This window comes from Homo sapiens, chromosome 1 (genome assembly GCF_000001405.40).
Source record: "Homo sapiens chromosome 1, GRCh38.p14 Primary Assembly".
Taxonomy (NCBI): Eukaryota; Metazoa; Chordata; class Mammalia; order Primates; family Hominidae; genus Homo; species Homo sapiens.
Window position 1 is genome coordinate 221,986,372 of NC_000001.11, and position 21,322 is coordinate 222,007,693.

The window sequence follows — 21,322 nt, forward strand, 5'->3', positions numbered from 1 at the left end:
TGGGACCAGTTCTTTCAGCCAGTAGGATGACCTCTTTTTCTGCCTGTTGGTTCAGTGGCACAAGGATCCTAAAGTGGCCACGTGGCAACCTCATCTTCCAATTTATTGGAATTATTGTTGTATCCCCTGGTGGAAATGTTTTCTCTCTAGGTCCTAAAACTTCCAAACAAGCAGATCTCACAAATAGCAGAAAAGGAAGCAAAAAATTCTGCAAGTGGGTTCTTAGGTGTAATGGTGCATACAAAAAGTACTAACCAAATAGTTAAAACATTGAAAAAGATAAACAAGAGTTTACCAAAATTTAAAACTTGCTCTGTGTGAAACACTTATTTAAAAAATGAAGAGACAAGACACCAGCTGTGGGAAAATACTTGCATTTCCCTCATTATTAATGATGTAGAGCACTTTTCATTACTTATTGGCCATGTTTTTTTCTTTTGTGAATGCCTGTCATTTTAATTGGATTTTAATCTTTTTATTACTGAGTTATGAGTGATTTATATATTCTAAATGCACATCATTTGTCAGATATATGTGTTATGAATATATTTCTCAATCTGTGGCTTGAGATTGTGGCCTATTTATTTTTTAGAGTCTGTTTTGACTAGCAAAAGTCTTGAATTAGAGTCTGGACTTACTAAGTTAAAGACGTTGATTAGACATCCAATTGGAGATGTGGGCTAAGCAGTTGGATGTTAGAGTCTGGAGTTCACGGTTGAGATCCAGGCTGTAGCTGCACTTGAGGGGTTCTCAGAATATAGATGGATTTTAAAGCCATCAGATTGGATGCTGTCATCTAGGGAATGGGTACAGATAATGAAGAGAAGAGGGACTGGCTCTGCGTTCTAGGACACTCTGACATTAAGAGGTTGAGAGAAGAAGAAAATCCAGCAAAGGGGACTAAAGATGTTGACGAGTAAATAGGAAAATAATCAAGAAGGTGTGGTGTCTTAGAAGTGAAACCAAGAAAATATTTCCAAGAGGAGAGAGAGATCAGTAGTGACAAATGCTAGTGAAAGTCAAGTATGGTCGCAACTAAAAACCGACCCTTGGGTTTGGATACATGGATGTCATAGATGGCCTTGACAAGAGCAGTTTTGATTGCTAATGGGGCATAGTATCTACCATGGAGGAAGAAACCAGAAAAGGGCTGGGTTATTTTGAGTGAGAAAATGGAGGTCTTGATTCAATCAAAGAATAATTTTAGGGAATAAGGGAATGTGAGAGCTGTATGAGCAGAAAATTATCAAAGACTTTAAGCTCTCAGAAGTTAAGTCATTCTGGTTCATGACAGCTTTGAGGGTGTAGCTATGGGTTTGCTTATCTGGTACAAATGGAGCTGAAGAACTTCAGAGTTGAGGAGTTTAAATACCTGTGAAACCCAGTGTTAGATGGGTTATGCACACAGACATTGATGTTGCCCAAGGGAAAGGCAAGAGGTGATGAGGAACAAGCCCTGAACCTGGAAAAGCAAGATATGTTCTAAGAGTGGACGGAGGGCTAAAGGACTACGATGCACTATTTAACCACCAGCCAAAATACACACTAGTCACTTTTTTTTTCTTCCTATTATCATGATTGAACATGTAAGGAATAAAGCAGCTGTTCAGAATTTTAGGGATTTACCAAAAAGAACAAATGGGCCCTGTCATGTGGGCTGTGTCATGCCATTCCTCAATGAGCTAAGATAAGTGATTCATGGGTATGAGTCACCATGACATCTGTCACATTGGATCTCTAAAGACGGTATGGATTTGCGTTGAGATGACCTTGCTTTTTAGGGCCCTGTGTGTAGGGGTGTGTGTGTATGTACGTGTGTGTGAGACTATAGCATCATGAACTAAAGAATTTGAAACTTTCTGATTTAAAATATTTAGAGAAGAAGAAAACATTCCAGATGAGACTGAATGCTCAGATTCGACTTTCATTTTTGTCTTGATAAAAAAGAGATATTAATACAACCTGATTCCTGAGCCATCCTCTGAACACTTACTGAGGCCCACAGCAGTGTTTCAAGTGGATACCTGGTGGTATCTTCACAGTTTAAAACAAAAATACAATACCCTCTGTTTACTTTGCCTTGGCATACATTTTAGTTCCCTAGGTCCAGGAATTGACATCCTATAGAATCCCAAAGAAGTGTCTGGGACCACAGGAAATGTCACATCAAAGAGATAAATGATCAATGTCCGGTGCTTACATAAAAACCTTTATCACATGAAAGTGAAACGTGGGCTGCTGGGCTTTGGATGAGGCAGATCAGGGTTTCAGGATCAACTCTGCCACAGATCTGCCTTGAACACTTAAGCTAAGACGTTACCTCCCCTGAAATTCTGGACCATCTTTTGTAAAAATAGAAATAATATTACTCAAGTTAAAGGATTGTCATGATAATTAAATGAACAGACTTAAATGAAATCTTCTGACCCAGGCTCAGCAAATATTGATTTCTTTCCCTTCCTCCTGTCTTCCCTTCTTCAGTAAGAGAGAAGCCTATTTGAGTGTCAAAAACTGCCTCAAACCCAAAAGACAATGCATTAGAAAATGCCCTGGAAATTATAAACTATATCATTGTGTCATGCTAATTAAAAAGTGCCTAAGCTGCCAGTAGGCCCAGGTTGGGTTCAAGTCTATACTTCACAATTTATTGGATGTGTGACTGTTGGTAATTAATGTACCTAGCCTCAGTTTTCTCCTCTGTACAATGGGATAACAGCCCCTATCTCAGATGGTGGTCACTGAAAAGTTTCAATCAAAGAATGTGTATAATGTGCTCAACAAGGTTTTTATCATGTAGTAGCATGTACTCAAAAGCTGTTAGCTAGAAGATCCACCTTTTAACTATCTTGGTTATGATCTAATTCTACTCTTTCTCCCAGAAGTAATAGGGAAAGTTAAAGGGAAGGTAGAGGAACAAAACAGTTTTAGAGGTCTTGCTCTTGTCTTGGTAACAGAGAAGCCCATTCTAAACACCTACCACCTGCCCTCCACCTCATCTGGCAATAGCACTCCTAGAGAGCACAGATTCCACCGTCACTGTGACAATGAACAGGTGGGTGTGGGGAGGGGCTCTCTGAGAGATGTTCACACACACACACACATGCACACACACCAGCTTGGAAACCCAGGACAAAACATCCAAAAGCCCCTCAAAAATGAAAAAAAAAAATTGGTCCAGCCAATTTTGGTGAAAAATATCTGAGTTTCAGAGCAATTGTAGAAAAAAGTCTGGGAGGCTACAAAGCACCAGGCAGCACCTCCAGACCAAAGGGGATGGCCAAGCCCTGGGTATGCTGTGGAGAATCGGGTCTGCAGGTGCTCAGCACCAGGGTGCATGGTGGTGCTTCTCTTCCCTCTTACCCCCACAGGTCTGGGATTCTACAGAAGTATAAATTGAAGGGTGAGAGGTCTTCTTGGGTTTTTGGCAGGGAGCTTCTAGTTGTGGTTTGTTTAGTTTTTAAAGATAAAAATAGTAGTGATATATGTATATAGGGTGTGTATTTGTGTGTAATGGTAGTGAAAGATGGTGTTGAATCACTTTGAAAGCTTTGCTAAACTAAACATAGTTGACCTTTCCTCTACCCATTCCTAAAACACGAAGGTTCTAATTCAATAATTCTGTTGAGAGGTCTGGATGTAAGTCTTTGGAAAAAGAGTTCAATTCTTTGAGACTTTGATTCATGAGACTCCCCAGGCAGCAGAGAGAACCAGTAAAAGAATATCAGCAAAGCCATCTCTACCTACCCCCAGTTTGTTTAGAAGCAGAAAGTTAAAGTAATCCAGAACTCTTCCATGCAGGGCAGGAGCATTCAGTCCACAAGAGGCTTCCAGATTACCCATTATGTTACCCATTAATATTTTGCTACTCTCAATACCGTGTTTTCTTTCTTCTTTCCCTGCTTTGCTTTAATCCTCCCTCTGTTTTTTTATTCTTTCCCCTTTCTCTGCTTCCTATTAGCTTCTATGATATTTGCAGGGCTGGTCAGCATAATATTAAGGAAGTTTTTGCCACTGCTCTATTTTAATGCCCTCCCACCAGGGCTCCCTCAGGGGCCCTCCATTGCACCTTCATTGTGATGCTCTTTAGTTGCTGCTGTTTCCCACAGTATAGCAGGGAAGGGGCTCATCTGCACCTGCCCTCTCTTTGCTGGTGACACACTGTTCTGCCCAGGCTGATCCCTGCCCCTCTTCCTGCCACCCTCATCCATGCTAACCTCCATTCTGATGTTCCTGCTTCCCAAGACACCATGGTGGAGAGCAGTGCTTCTCCAACTTAAGCTTGCACCGGAAGCCTTTGGAAGGCTTGTTGAAACTGATCGCTGAACCCCAATCCTCAAGGTTCTATTTCTAAATCTGAGTTAGAGCCCACGACTTTGCTTTTCTAACAAATTCCCAGGTGATATAAAGGCTGCTGGTCCAGAGACCACACTTTGAGAACCACTGATGGTGAGGAAAGAATGGACATGGGGGCCAACCTCTGCTAACTTTCATTTCTAGTTTAGCTGCTGATCAGTTGAGTGACCCAAGCAATTTATTTGCCCCCCTGAGAGGCTTGGTTTTCTCAGTTGTAAAAATATGTTGACAATAACTTTCCAGTACTGTTATTAAATAGGACATTGTCTTTCTGGTCTTCTCTGTGAGAATCAGAAGTTATTCAATAGGATCAGAAACACTGAGCTCACCTTATCAGCAATTGCTAGTTATGCAAGCATTACTGCCACCAATACCAATGTCATATGGCGACTGCAAATGTGTGGCCTTGGCTCATGTGGGAAACCACTTAAATATACAATCCCAGGATTCTCTCACCTTCCCCTGACACTTAGGCTTCCTATAAATATATAGTTTAAGTAGAGAAGGGAAAAAAGTCACTTTCATCTTCCTGGTTCTCACTCCCCTTCCTCCCTTATTCATGCCTTTCATTCTGGAATCATGTAGCTAATTCTAAAGGGCACATTTTGTCCTTAGAAGGTATGTGCAGGGCTTACATTCCTGTGCTCAAAAGAGAGTGTGGTCTAATGGGTAGGAAGTGGGTGTGGAAGGAATGGTAGGTTCTATTTAAAGCCTCCCTACTGACTCACGGAGGCATCTAGGGAAATGGCTTAACTTTTCTGAGACTTGGGTTCCCTCTTGTTAAAAAAAGGACAGATAACCCCTTCTTAGCAGGGTGCTTCTGAGGACAGAGAACTTAGTGTTTGAGAAGCACTTGGAGGTGGGGAGCTATCTGATCATATAAATATGGAATCTAGAGATGCACATTCTTTCTCCACCTTCTCACAAGCTTTATACAATGATTCTGTCCAGCCAGTTAGGCAGGTCAAGATCCCATCCTGACCCATCTGGAGACTTAGAGATTGGTAACATTTGGGAAAATAAAAAAATTTTAAGCATTCCTGCTGGGCCTACATCTCATTTCCCCTGAGATGTGGGGTAAGGAGAAGGCAGGTGCAGGAGAGTCATGGCCCAGGTGTCTGAATATAAGCAGTCTCGGCCTGGCTGTTACCATCTTGAGGTCTTGGGCCAGAGCCTGCCCCACTCTGAGTTTAAAGCTCTGATTATCTCTGACTCTGCTGCCAGCTCTTTGACACCCCAAGGTTCTATAGTGCTGAGTAGTGAAGTCTTTTGGAAGTAAATAGAAAATAGCTTTTGTTTCCTACTAGGAGATCACAATTCCACCTGCACTGTCTTTTCCACCTTCCCATGGAGAGGCTCCCATGCATCAGCTATTTACTATTTCAGTTTTTTAATGGAGTTCTTACTTGCCTTGGGCTAGAGACTGAGCTAGAACTGGGAATACAAAAGATAAGACAAGGTACCGGCCTGTGAAGCATACCATCTAGCAAGAGAAATGGCTCCTTGGAGAATGGCAGCACAGAGGAGAGTTAACCCCCACTGAGAGTTTGAAAAGGGCTTCAAAGAATAAAAAGGAAGAAAAAGGAAACTATGGCTTATTGGGATAAAAAATTAAATGGCTTATTCACCTATTTTGCCAAGTACAAAGCTAGTTGCTTTATGTACATAAATGTATTTATCCTATGAAAATGCTTAATAGGAGGCCAGTAGGCTGCAGAAACTCCAGCACCCTGGGTCTCTTCCTAAGCAAACCAAAACCCAACTCAATGTAAACAGTGAAACAAAGCTTAAGCTTATCCTATCAGAAATCACCAAGTAGCTTCTAACTAGGGACTTTACCAATCAGAAACCACCAACTAATCTCTAACTAGGGACTTTCCATTTTAACCAATCAAATGCTTCCTCTGTCTTTCTTTCACAAACACCGTATAAAAGTATCCCCTTCGCACCCCTTCAGTGGAGTGCCAAACCACTTGTGGTCTAATGCTGCCCAGGTCATGAAATGCTGAATGCTCAAACTCATTAGAATGTTAATATGCCTAAGTTCATTTTTTAACAATCCTTACATTAATCTTAAGAGGTAGATATTGTTTTCCACAATATAAAGCTAAGCAAAGTTGGGCATGAAGAGAGTAATACATTCCCTTGTGTCCACAGAGTTAGCACATGATGGGGCAGTGATCAGGCCAAGGTGTATTGGATTCTATAGCATTCCCTCTTCGAGATGTGAAATTTTACCTGGACCCTAAACAATCACAAAGATGTCTCCCATTAGTGAAGGGGAAGTTTCTCCGAGTAGAAGGAGCTAAAAGAACAAAATCAGAGAGTTTGGATTACACTAGTGGTCACAACGTAAAGGCAGACACAGGCAGTCTCAGGACATAAGGTTGGAAGACAGGTAACTCCAAATGTTCTAGATGCTCTTCTGGGCTGCTGTGCTCTAGGGACTGAGGAGCTATGGAAATGGGAGCAACTTGACTTGATTTTTGCCCTTTAAAGCTGCTTCTTTAACAACAGTGTAAAGCAGTGGTCCCCAACATTTTCGACATCAGGGACAGGTTTGTGGAAGACAATTTTTCCACAGACCGGATTGGAGGGATGAATGAAGTGTATTACATTTATTGTCCACTTTATTTCTATTATTATTACCTTGTAATATATAATGAAATAATTTTACAACTCATCATAATGTATAATCAGTGGGAGCCCTGAGCCTGTTTTTCTGCACTACAAGGTCCCATCTAGGGGTGATGGGAGACAGTGACAGATCCTCAGTCATTACAGTCTCATAAGGAGCACACAACCTAGATCCCTTGCATGCACAGTTCACAATAGGGTTCATGCTTCTATTAGAATCCAATGCCAACACTGATCTCACAGGAGGTGGAGCTCAGGTGGTAATGCCAGTGATGAGGAGCAGCTGTAAATACAGATGAAATTTTGCTTGATTGCCTGTCTCTCACCTGCTACTGTGAGGCCTGGTTCCTAACAGGCCATAGACTGATACTGGTCCATGGCCCAGGGATTGGAGACCCCTGGTGGAAAGGATGAATTAGAAAAGAGTGAGATTGTGTTCATTCATTTACTCATTTGCAGGCACTCATGAAATGATACTGGGGAAAGGAGACCAGTGAAAAAATGACAGCAGTAGCCCAGAAGAGAGATGATGAGGACATGAGCCAAGCTCTTGCTTCCCTGTCTTTGACATTTCAGTACATGGAGAAGACCTAGGAAAGCCCATAGGGCATATGCTTGGAATTCTGAGAGCTATCGGGAGGTCTAAAGTAACCCCTGAGCCAAGATCTTTGGGGCTACATAATAGAAATGAATTTAAACTAGACCTGAAGGTTTGTACCTTTTTACAAGAATGCTTCAGAAACAGACCTGGTCCTCAAAGCTTCAAGGCCCAATGGGGATTCTTATCTCCTTTGGGAAGGAACTAGGGAGTCTTGATTCAAATGTCTCCGGACCCTCCCGAATATATATCCTCTTAACAGAAGAAAGAGCTGTTCTCGCTTAACCAGGCCTCTAATGCTAGTTAGAAAAAGAACAGGGTTCTAAGACATCAACTGCTTGCCTGAAAGGGGAAGAGAATCAGCTGACTCATATACTGGTCCTTTTAGGCTGCATGGTTTGAGTCATGATGCTCAGGAGAGTTTCCAGCACAGCAGACCTCAGGGAAGGCAGGGCTTAAATCCAGGTAGCCCACTGTGGAGTCAGGAAAGCTGTAGGGACAAACTGGAAGTTGATGGCAGAGAGGTGTTTTCACTGAGGTGCAGATCAACACAGCACCATCCTACAGCCCCATGGAGTCCAAAGGGAGGCCAAGAGGATGTGGAAAGAGTGAGATGGTACACCCACTTCCTAGAGTTGCACTGACTTTTAGAGTTGCACTGACTCTAAAAGTGATCAGAAAATGGAAATGATGGTGTTTCCTGTTCAGTTTGAGACCCAAGTAACTGGCCTCATCTTCACCTCTATCAAAGAACTCACTTCTCAACTTGACTCTCAACCAGTACCTATTCTTCCTCCCATTACTTAGACGGGCGACAAGGTTAATGCACAGCTCACTAAGAGTTAGATAACCTAGAAGAGTCAGAAGAGTTCTGGTTCCTTCTCTGCCACTTACTAGATCTCTGGCTTAGCCTCATTTGCTTTGTCTTTTTATTACAAAAACAAAGAAACTATAAAATGATGGGTTTAGAAGAACAGACTTCCCTTTAAGGTCTCTTCCAGTTATAACAATCTCTTATTTGATTCATTCTCCAAGCCTCCCACTCCTTACTGCACTTATTTTAATCTTTTTTTTTCTCCTTTCTCTGTGTTTTCTTGCTTATGAAATGAGTGTGTGTGAGTAATGTTCATATGCTGATGAACACAGTTGGGTCTTTGTCGTCCGTGATAATGAGAAATGGATCATGTGGATAACCCCAAACTGAAAACACTGTTCAAGTATGTGACGGAGGAACATTCCAGTCTGACTAACAATCTAATGTTTAGTTAGGGCTGCACTCACTGAGTATCCATTATCTAGTTAGCAGGATGGGCAGAGAGAAGTTAACTGGGTTAACTGGGTTAGTTTGTGAAAAATAGGGACTGATGCTGCGATGTGCACATTGGCCGAGTCTCCTCCACTAAGCAATGGCTTGTTTTGTAAATTAGACTTGCTTGGTTTGTGCGATTAATACTACAATGGCCAGTGTTTAGGACATGCCCAGGGACAGGAGTGGAGGCTGCAGTAAGAAAAGAAAAGATAATTGCTAGAGATTTTAGGAGACTGAGGGACTCAGAACCAAGAAGGGTCACAGTACCTTGGGTCAAGAGTGGCTCAGCCAGCAGTGACGAGGGCATGGCCCCTCCTCTGGGCTCTGCTGTCACCTTGATTCACCCTACAGGTGGCTCTGCACTAAGGAAACCCCCTTGGACATTTACCAGATGGAATTAGACCTCACAGATAGGGGAGCCACTGTGTGCCCATATGCACCTCTGATTCTGCAGCCTGGCCAGGCCAGCTTTTCTGGAATGAAAATGGGTAAGAGGATGCTTCAGGGCTATTTGTGACCATTTCCCTAGGACTCATGTCCTGCTATGCTCCCTGCCCACTCCACTAGCAATCTGGTCTCTAACAAGCCCCTCATGCTCAATTACCCCTTATCAGTTGGTGGAGACATGTGGCATGGGTGTCTCAGGTGAGTTTAAATGTAAATTTGAGCTGAGTCAAGATATTATACAAAGCTTGTGGGAGGCTGAGGTGGGCAGATCACTTGAGATCAGGAGAGTTCGAGACCAGCCTGGCCAACATGGTAAAACCCCGTCTCTACTGAAAATACAAAAATTAGCCAGGTGTGGTGGGGGCGGGGGGGGCACCTGTATTCCCAGCTACTTGAGAGGCTGAAGCCAGAGAATCACTTGAACCCAGGAGGCAAAGGTTGCAGTGAGCCTAGATCGTGCCATTGCACTCCAGCCTGGGTGACAGAGATTTGGTCTCAAAAAAAAAAAAAAAAAAAGATATTATACAAAGCTTGTTCTGTTCATAAAAGGTTGAACATTACTGTATAAGACTACAGATCACACAATTCTGCATGTTTTATTTTATAATATTTTATTTTTATTTTTGGTAGCAGAAGGATCTCACTATTTTGCCCAAGCTGGCCTTGAACTCCTGGCCTCAAGTGATCCTCCCACATCAGCCTCCCAAAATGCTGGGATTATAGGCATGAGCCACCACTCCTGGCCTAGATAAACTTTGATTTCTCTTTTATTATAAAGGTAACATGTTTGTTACCTTTTGCTACCATGTTTGTTACATGGTTGTATTTGGAAAATATAGTAGAAGTATACAAAAGAAAATGTAGACTTGTTATACTGTAACACCCAGCCAGAGATAAGCACTATTAATGCTTTGGCATATTATTTGTATTGTCTTTCTGATAAATAGAGATAAGATAGATGTCATTGTATATAGTTTCATATCTTACATTTTCTAACAATTTTGTAAGCATGTTCTTGTCATTTAGTTTTTTTAATGTTATATGTTAATGTCTCCATAATAATTTAATTACATCTGTGTACAACAATTTATTAAGCATTTCTTTGTTATTGAGAGAGTGTTTCTAACCCTTTGCTTATCTTATATAATGTAGCAATGAAAACCCTCTTGCGTGAATAGTTCTTTGAACTGCTGTGTTTTTCCTCAGCAGATTCCTTACAAAAAGAATTTCAGGATAAAGGTATACAAAGATTTTTAAGTTTCTTAAATAAATTGTCAAATAGTTTTCTAGATAAGTGGCAACAATTTATACTTCTACTGGCTGTCACAACAGTAAGAACTGTCATGTTTTATTTTATTTATTTATTTATTTATTTATTTTTGAGACAGTCTCACTGTGTCACCCAGGCTGGAGTACAGTGGAGCAATCATGACTCACTGCAGCTTCTACCTCTTGGGCTCAAGCCATACTCCCACCTCTGCCTCCCAAGTAGCTGGGACTACAGGCGCTTGCCAACACACCCAGCTAATTTTTGTATTTTTCATAGAGACAGAGTTTTGCCATGTTGCCCAGGCTGGCCTCCAACTCCTGAGTTCAAGTGATCCACCCACCCTGGCCTCCCAAAGTGCTGGCATTACAGGAGTGAGCCACTGCACCTGGCCAAAACCTGTCATGTTTTATAATGTTTGGAACTTTATATATGCAAAAAAAAAGTGATAACAAAGTTTTATTGAAATTTTCTTGAGTTTATTTTGTGTGGTTGAAAACTCTGTGTATGTTTATAGAATGCTCTATTTATAATCTTTGCCCATTTTTCTTTCCTAGTGAAATATTCTTATTTATTTATATGAGCTTTCATGAGATTTATATGAGATATATATATACATGCATATGTATATTAATCCTTTGCTATCTATGCTGCAAATTTTTTCTACATGTTTTCTGTCTTTTAATTTTGCTAATGATTTCAACATTAAAAAGTTTTAGGCTGGGCACGGTGGCTCACGCCTGTAAGCCCAGCACTTTGGGAGGCCAAGGCAGGCACATCACTTGAGGTCAGGAGTTCAAGACCAGCCTGACCAACATAGCCAAACCCTGTCTGTCCTAGAAGTACAAAAAAATTAACCAGGCATGGTATGTGTGCCTGTAATACCAGATACTCAGGAGTCTGAAGCAGGAGAATTGCTTGAACCCGGGAAGCAGAGGTTGCAGTGAGCCAAGATCTCACCACTGTACTCCAGCCTGGGCAACAGAGTGGGACTCCATCTGAAAAAACAAAAACAAAAACAAAAAACAAAAAAGAACCCCTTAAATTTACTTGTATTCAAATCTTTGCTTTTACCTTGTAATTTCTTCCATGCTTTTTGTTTATAATTCCTTCTCCACTTTGAAGACAGGAGAATATTTATTTGTATTTTGAGATGTTTTATTTTTTGTAATTAACTTGATAATTCATCTTGTGTTTATTTTACATGTAGCACGAGGTGAAGATTTAACTGGCGATCATTCCCCAAACTGTTTGCTGACTAATCCATTTGTGTGTGGTTTTCCTTATCATGTATTAGATCCCCACACACATCATGGGTGTCTTGGCCTATACCCCAAACTCCCTTTCAGGAATGAAGGACTTTGTTTCTCCAGCAGCTAGAAGACAGCTCTCAGCTGCCAGTTCTTTGGGGATTGACTCTGCAGAAAAAAAAAAAAAAATCTGCCTGAAAAAGAATCTAAATGACCTTCTAAGCCCCACAGCTCCCTATGTGGTGTGTGGCTGCAGCCTTTCTTGGGACTGAATCACAGCTCAACTTATCTCTGTGCTCAATTTCACTTCTGTCCTCTCCTTCCATGCTCACCCCAAGCACACTCCCTAATGAATGTCTGATATGGTCTGGCTGTGTGTCCCAACTCAAATCTCCTCTTGCATTGTAATCCAAATTATAATCCCTATATGTTGAGGGAGGGACCTCACGGGAAGTGATTAGATCATGGGGGCAGTTCCCCCATGCTGTCCTCATGATAGTGAGTAAGTTCTCATGCTATCCGATGGTTTTATAAAGGGCTTTTCCCCCACTTCACTCTTCACTCATTCTCTCTCCTGCCACCCCGTAAAGAGGTGCTTTCTGCCATGATTGTAAGTTTCCTGAGGCCTCCCCAGCCAGGCAGAACTGTGAGTCAATTAAACCTCTTTTCTTTATAAATTACCCAGTCTCGGATATTTCTTCATAGCCGCATGAGAACTGACTAATACAAAGTCCTACAACCTAATCTCCATATCAGAGTCAGCTTCCAGGGAGTACAGCCTATGACATACATAAAGGCCCATGATCTGCAATCCAAAATTTCAAAATTAGCGAAGTTCTAAAAAGCACATTTTTTTTTCTTTTTCATGAGTTTCGTGCCAACGTTCACTTGGGAACAAAATATGACTTGAATCAGTTGGAGGCTGTTTGTAGTTTTTATGTGTCCTACTGAGTTTCATTACAGAAATATCAATATGTTTGTTTATGTAGTACTGGTCCTGACCCCACTGGGTTCTGAGGTCTATGAAGTATTCAGTAATATTTAGGATATAACCAAATTACCTTTCTGAAATTCAAATTTTAAATTCACAAACATATGTAACCCCAAGAATTTAAGACAAAGGACAGTGGGCCTATATGGGATATATTTTGAAATTTACCTTGATGTATATGCTGTTTTGATGGCAAAATCGTCATTAAGCATTTAAAAATCTCGTAAGTTAAGTCTTCTCCCTTAGTATTACTATTCTTTTGCAAAATACTTTTTGTTATTCCTACCTGTTTACTCTTTGAGATGAACTTCAGAATCATTTTACCAAATTATCTCCCCAAATTGAGATTTCCCTTGAAATAATACTATGCCTAAAAGTTAATCCAGGGACCATTAATATCTTCAAAGTATTTATCTCATCTAAGAATATGATAAGTCTATCTCTTTGTTGATGTTGACTTTTACAGCTCTAGGTAAGTTTTAAAACTTCTTCAGAAAAGCTCCACATGTATTTCATTAGAGTTATTGCAATGACCTAGATTTTTGTTGTTATTCTGAAAGAAACTATGAAAGTTTTTTTCCTACTAATTATCCTAATTATTATTTGCTTATAGAAAAAAAATCCTTTCATAATTTTACTTTTTATTGCCTCACTTCTGAAATTACATTAATTCTAAGAGCTTTTCAGTTGAATTATCTTGATTTTTCTTTGTATTTAATTATGTCATCTGCAAATAATGATAATTTTGTCCTCTTTTAAAATATTCATGCATCCTCTTTCCATTTTATACCACATTGTGCTGGACAGTATGTTCATTGGTAAGAACGTGAAATAATGATGGCAGTGGCAGAAATTCTGGTCAGCTTCCCAGTTTTAATTGGGATTGTCCCTAGTGCTCCACGATTAAGCATTATGCTGGCTGGTGTTTTATGATGCTTATTTTTAATCATCTATAGAAATATTCTATTCTTAGTTTTCTAAAGGTTTCTTTTTCATCTGTAAGAAATATGTTGCATCGTATCCTATATTTTTTGACATTTGTTGAAATTACCATATGTTTGTCTCCTTTGAAATATTGCTATGATGCAATATATTAATAGATTCCCTAATATTAAAAACATTCTTAAACTTTACGACATCCCTTATTTCATTGTAGTGGGTAAGTTTCACTTATTCTTTATAAAAATATGGATTTTTACGTACATATTTATAATTGAGACCAGTCTATAGTGATTAACTCCTCTCAAATGTGAAAGCAGATGTTATCATCTGGGGAGCAATTTTAAAATGAAGATTACATAATCCAGTAGCCATGACAGAAGAGAAAGATGAATTTGATTCTCAAACAATTTTAATTTTCTAATAGAAAGTAATGCTCTATAGTTAAAATAAAAATAGTCATGTGTTAACAAATTGACAGGAGATCAATTTCATATTCTTCAAAGTGCTCAAGAAATCAATTATGAAAAGAGAAACAATCTAATAGTAAAGTGAACAGTGGTTATGAACAGGCATTTTACAGAAACAAAATTATAGATGAGCAATATAATTTGAAACAATGCCCAACCTCTTTGTTAATTAAAGACCTACAATTAAAACTCTAATAGGTATTGTTTTATGCCTATCAAAAATAGCAAAGTTCCCAACATTTGACGATGATACCCAGTCCTGGCAAGAGTATGGGGAAATGGGAATTCCTATTCCTTGTTTCCAGAGAAGGGTTTGGCAATAGTTATCAAATTAAAATCTGTGTCCATTAGATCCAGCAATTCCGCAGCTAATAATTTACAGTATGGATTTATTCACCAAATATACATAGAAAGTACAAAACTAAGTCAAAACAACTGTTATATCCACTAATAGAAAACCGATTGAATAAATTAAGGCATATTTATTTGATAGATAGTATGTTGTTATGAAAAAGAATAGATAGATCTGTGTGTACTGATATGAAAAATTTCAAATATAAATTATTAAGTGAAGGAAAGCAAATTGCAGAAGAGTAAGCATATTCTGACCCTTTTTGTAGATATGTTGAATGTTGGACAAATATAGATGCTAGTATGTGCATCTTTTTTATTCTTCATACTACACTGTTACCTAGGAAATATGTATAAGAATAAGGTAGTAAGGCCGGGCACGGTGGCTCACGCTACCATGTAATCCCAGCACTTTGGGAGGCCAAGGCAGGCGGATCACCTAGGGTCAGGAGTTTGAGACCAGCCTGGCCAATATGGTGAAACCCCGCCTGTACTAAAAATACAAAAACATTAGCCAGGTGTGGTGGTGGGTGCCTCTAATCCCAGCTACTCAGGAGGCTGAGGCAGGAGAGAATTGCCTGAACTCGGGAGTCGGAGGTTGCAGTGAGCCAAGATCATGCCATTGCACTCCATCCTGGGCAACAAGAGAGAGACTCTGTCTCAAAAATAAAATAATAATAAGATTGTGAGAAGGAAGGAGGTCAAGGACACGTTTTATTGTGTACTCTCTGCACTGTCTGAATCTTCTATATTACCTCCACTAAAATGTAATATCAGCAAAAGTTTTCTGACATTTTTAAAGTTTGTTTGCTTCTAAGTACTTTTTAATATTAAATTGATAATAAGAATTTAATATCATATTCCCAGGTTCCATCCTTAATGATTCAAAAGGTGAGATGTGGAACCCAGGAACCTGACATTTTTACAAATATTCCCAGAAAATTCAACGTAGGTGGTTGGGAAACACACTGAAAATCTCAGTTCTGTAGCTATGCTATTTTGCTTTATCTCATTCAAATATGAATACCAACATGAAGCCAGCATAATATCTGTCCATGATTTTCTATGATCTGGAAAAGTTACATAGCATATGAATTATCAATGTCTTGAAAATATGGAAAAAATACCAATAAAATAAGAACCTTTGTAGAAATAATGCATTGATATCTTACTTATTTTCTTCAAAAGCTAATTTTATAGTCTTCTACTTATTTTTTTGAATCACATAGAGTCAATTATGTTTTCATCCCAAAGTACAGAGATTTTCAAACTTATTGCCGTAGTGAAACAAATAAATCTCTAAAATTTTCTTCTCTACCATATCCATTATATAACCCCTTTCTGATTTCTCAGTTTTATTTATGAATATCCCTTTCATTTTTCCTTTATTATCCTCTATTTTGTAAGTATTTCTAAAGAAGCTAGCCCTTGAACTTTTTGATTAGCACTAATTATTCTGTCCCTGTTCTCTATTTAATATCTGCTTTTATCTTTATTATTTCTTTCCATTTCTATTTTAATTAAATGAGTTTTATTGTTTTTTGCAACTTAAAACAGTCATTTTCACCCTTCTCTACTTAATTATAAAAGCATATGAAGTACTATATGTTACTGTAAGTATAATCCTAGCCACATATCATAATTTTCTAAGTAAGTCTCTTAATATGATTCATCATCTTTAGCAATAATTTTACTTTTCCTTTAACATAGTGGTTAACACATCTTAAAGAATTGTCATGTAACCGTTCCATGTAACTGTGGCTCATACCTATAATGCCAGCACTTTTGGAGTCCAATACAAAAAATCACTTGAAGCCAGAAGCTCAAGACCAGCCTGAGCAACAGAGACTCTCATCTCATCTCTACAGAAAAAAAAAACAAAAAAAATTAGCCAGGTATAGTGGCATGTATGCCTGTGGTCCCGGCTACTCCAGAGGCTGACGTGAGATCACTTGAGCCCCAACCCAGAGTTTGAGGCTGCAGTGAGCTTTGATCATGCTGCTATGCTCCATTCTAGGACACAGAGCAAAATACTGCCTCTTAAAACTGAAAAAAGAAACTATCATGTGATTTAATGTTTTTGTTTAAATTTTAATTATTAATATCTGATGAAAATGTAAAGTTTTAGAAAATATAATTATGCTACATCTGTGTTTTGAAATTTCTTGAGGTTTTCTTCACATACTTAATCTGTATGTAAGCATTTTAAATGTATATTCTATCTATTAATAGATATGTATTAACTCATTCTTGTCAAATAGTATTTATTAGTTTAATTCTGTTAAGTTATATTGTCAATCTATCTTTGTCTTTGATTTTTGGCTATCTAATGTTTCAAAGTATAAGAGGGGTGTGGTAAATTTTCCTACAACAATTTTACTTCAATTCATTTCCATGTCCTCTCTATGTTCTCTAATCTTAGGTGTCTCTTGTTTTTCAGGTAGATTTTAGAGGCTTTAACTTATTAAAATATATGCTTGAGTTTACTTTAGGCACCTTGTTTTATTCATGCAGTCATTTAGCAAATATTCAATACTCACTCTGTAACAGTATCAGCTGGCAGAGCCATGTGCTAGAGTTCTGGCCAGTAAGGTATAGGCAGAAGTCCGCTGGAGTGACCGCTTCCTTATTTTTATTTATTTATTTATTTATTTTTGAGAAGGAGTTTGGCTCTGTCGCCCAGGCTAGAGCGCAGTGGTGCGATCTTGGCTCACTGCAACCCCTGTCTCCAGAGTTCAAGCAATTCCTCTGCCTCAGCCTCCCTAGTAGCTGGGATTACAGGTGCCCACCACATGCCCGGCTAATTTTTGTATTTTAGTAGAGATGGGGTTTCACCATGTTGGCCAGGCTGGTCTTGAACTCCTGACCTCAAGTGATCTGCCTGCCTCAGCCTTCCAAAGTGCTGGGATTACAGGCGTGAGCTACCACGCCAGCCCTTTCTCTCTTCTTACCGGATGCAGTCAGCTTGCTGGAGCTATAGCAGTCACTTTGTAAGCATGAAGGAAGGACCAAGACTTGTAGTTATACCTTCCACCATTATTTACTTACCGAAACAACATAAACAAGTATCTACCTCTGGAATTCCTCTTATCAGAGAAAAATAAATTTCTATTGGTTGAAGCTGTTAGCTGGCTATTGTGTACTTGCAACTGAAGACATTTTTAATTAATCTATGTCTTTACTTCTGTACCTCAAATTTTCAAAAATATATTTGAAACTACACATTTTTAATTATTAGGTTGGTGCAAAAGTAATTGCGGTTTTTGCTATTTTAATGCAGTTTTGCCATTACTTTTTTTAATATAAAAATCAAGCACCCTTCAATAACTCCGTAGGTAATAAAATAAATTAGAGTGCTTTAAACTCTACTGCCTTCCTTCCCATTTTCCAATTTTTATAACATTTGTAAAATCAAAATTTTATTTTGATTGAATTTTTACGTTAAGTATCTTTTTCATATCATGTTACTTTCCATTCAAGTTATAAACCATATTACAACAATTATTTAGAATTAACATTTTGTGTCCAATATTATCAGTTTACATTAAGTTTTTTAAGAGTTCAATTTGTTCACTCTTGGATAAAAGCTTTTCACCCATCTTTTGGGCAGCTGACAGTTGTCTTCAGGCATTTTTCCTAAAGGATACAAGAATGCTATTTCTCTTTTAAATCCTTCCCTAATTAAAAACGCCTTTATTTTGCCTTTAAACATGAATAACATGTAAGACAACAACATCTTGTTAAAATTGTAGAATTCTTGAGTTAACATATTCCATAAAAACTCCAGATTTCAAAAACTATCTTATGAAGTTTTTATGTAGTATTATGAAGAGAAGCCTATGAGCAGCATAGTTTTTTTCCTTGCTAAAGTACACTTTTAAAATTCTTTCTGAAGAAGTGTAAGAATGTGATACTCTATCAGCAATTTATCCTGGAAGAGGTTAAGCCCATTGGATCACAGCTCAAATGATCATGATGATGGATGGTGATGGTGATGATGACATTAGGAGTAACAATGGTAGTAATGGTGATGACGATGATGACGATTTTAGCTCAGGAAAGTTTTCTTCTGTATATCTTTTCTTATTCCTTCTTTTCTCTTGGTTTATTTCTTCTGAATATTGCCTGTTTAAAATTGGTTTCTGTTCTCTGTATCAAATTTCTCTCTCTGTTTTTAAACCTATTACCTTACCATTCATAGAAAGATGTAGTTTGCCTTCTACGTCATTGACTTGGTTTTCTGTAGTGTCTGTTCTCCTATTTATTACCTTCAAGGTACATTTTAATTCTGTTTAATTCTGTTTATAAGTTACCAGAATTCTCTTATTGTGCCCATAAAATCCTTTTAAATATCTACTGGCATTCCAGAGAGCCACTATTATCTCATCTCTCCACTCTTGTCCCATAAGTCCGTGCTTCCTCATATTTATTGAGAAATACACAGAGAACATCATCTAGTTTATTTTTCTTCATTTGTTTTATTTTTTTCTGAAAATGTTATTTTAGTTTTTTTTTTTTTTCTTCTAACTTTTATTTTAGATTCAGGGAGTACCTATGCAGGTTTGTTACATGAGTAATTTGCATGTCGCTGGGCTTTGATGTACAAATGATTTTGTCACCCAGGTATTGAGCCAATAGGCAGTTTTTCAATCCTTACGTTCCACCTACCCTCCACCTTCAAGTAGGCTACAGTGTCTATTGTTGCCATCTTCATGTCCATGTGTACTCAATGTTTAGCTCCCACTTATAAGTGAGAACATGCAGTATTTGGTTTTCTGTTCCTGTGTTAATTCACTTAGATCATGGCCTCTAGCTTCTTCCATGTTGTTGCAAAGGACATAATTTTGTTGTTGTTTATGGCTGTGTAGTATTCCATGGTATATATGTACTACCTTTTCTTTATCCAGTCCACCATTGACGAGTATCTAGGTTGATTCCATGTCTTTGCTGTTGTGAATTGTGCTACAAAGAACATATGCATGCATGGGTCTTTATAGTAGAACAATTTATATTCCTTTGGGTATATATCTGGAATGACACTGCTGGGTCAAATGGTAGTTCTGTCTTGAGTTCTTTGAGAAATCTACAAACTGATTTCCACAGTGGCTGAACTAATTTACATTCCCAGAAGGATGTGTATGTGTTCCCTTTTCTCCACAACTTTTCAAACATCTGCTTTTGTTTTGTTTTGTTTTATTTTGTTTTTCTGAGTCAGGGTCTCACTTTGTCCCCCAGACTGCCATGCAGTGGCCTGATCATGGCTCATTGCAGCCTCAACCTCTTGGGCTCCAGCAATCTTCCTCTCTCGGCCTCCCAAGTAGCTAGGACAATAGGCACATACCACCACACCCAGCTAATATTTTTTAATTTTTTTCTAGCGATGTAGTCCCTGTGTTGCCCAGGCTGGTCTCAAACTTCTGGGCTCAAGTAATCCTCCTGCCTTGGCCTCCCAAAATGCTGGGATTAGAGGGGTGAGCCACTGTGCCCAGCCAGTTGTTTGTTTGTTTTTTTTTAACTTTTTAATCATAGCCATTCTGACTGGTGTGAGATAGTATCTTACTGTTTTGATTTGAATTTCTCTAATGAGTATTGATGTTGAGCATTTTTTCATATGCTTGTTGGCTGTGTATATGTCTTCTTTTGAGAAGTGTCTGTTCATATCTTCTGCCATTTTTAAATAATTTTTGTTGATTTATTTAAGTTCCTTATAGATTCTGGTGATTAGACCTTTGTCATATGCATAGTTTGCAAATATTTTCTCCCATTCTGTAGGTTGTCTGCTTGGCATTTCTCTTGGACAATATAGACAGTTGAAATACCAGACTATTTTTATTGGTTTCATGTTGTTATCTTTCTGTTTGCTCATCCTTGAGTAATTTGAGTTGAGTTGAGGACCTGTTTTGCCATTGAGTATTTCTTAATGTGTTATTCTTTCCAGAAATTAGCAAATAATTGACTGATAGCTTTAATTTCTGGCTGTTGTCACTTGGCATCTGAGTTATCATGGCTGCTTCAGTGGAAAAGTAGAATGAAGTTAATCAGGTACAGATGTCTTACTGCCATCCTAACAAGAAATGCTCCCTTTTCTTTTACTAAAAGAGGGAGACTTCCTATTTCATGAACTGCATGGATTTCAAATGCATCTGATAGTGATTTTAAAAATAAATGAGGAAGTTTGATTACTGGTACATTATACTCAACATGCATGCAGTAGAGAAGCAATACAGTAGTATGGATAAAAATATAGGTTTGAAGATGAGTTGGGTACCTTTCCACAGTGTGACCTCAGGAGACCCACATCTGTGAGTCTCAGTTTCCTCGTGCACAAAATGGCACTAATAATATCTACCTCACAGAGCTACTGGGAAAATTAAATAATATCCTATATATTATATGCAACATATCACTAACATGTTAGGTATTGTTAATACAGAATCTAATACATGACAAGTATTCAATAAATAGTAGCAACTATAAATATTTTCTTAGTTGCATAATATTTTGTAAAATCTGCTGTTTTCCATTCCTTTTCATTTTCTTTTTTTTTTTTTTTTAGACGGGGTCTCACTCTGTTGCTCAGGCTAGAGTGTAGTGGCATGATCTCAGCTCAGTGCAGCCTCCGTTTCCCAGGCTCAACTGATCCTCTCACCTCACCCTCCTAAGTTGCTGGGACTACAGGCGCATACCACCATGCCCACCTAATTTTTGTA

At 38.5% G+C, this 21,322-nt stretch overlaps 1 annotated feature.

Annotated features, from left to right (window-relative positions):
• Positions 6,068 to 6,117: an enhancer, noted in NCBI's record as "active region_2574". NCBI's record gives its function as "activates an Ori minimal core promoter by ATAC-STARR-seq in GM12878 lymphoblastoid cells {active_cell/tissue: GM12878}" and the evidence as "EXISTENCE:reporter gene assay evidence [ECO:0000049][PMID:35858748]".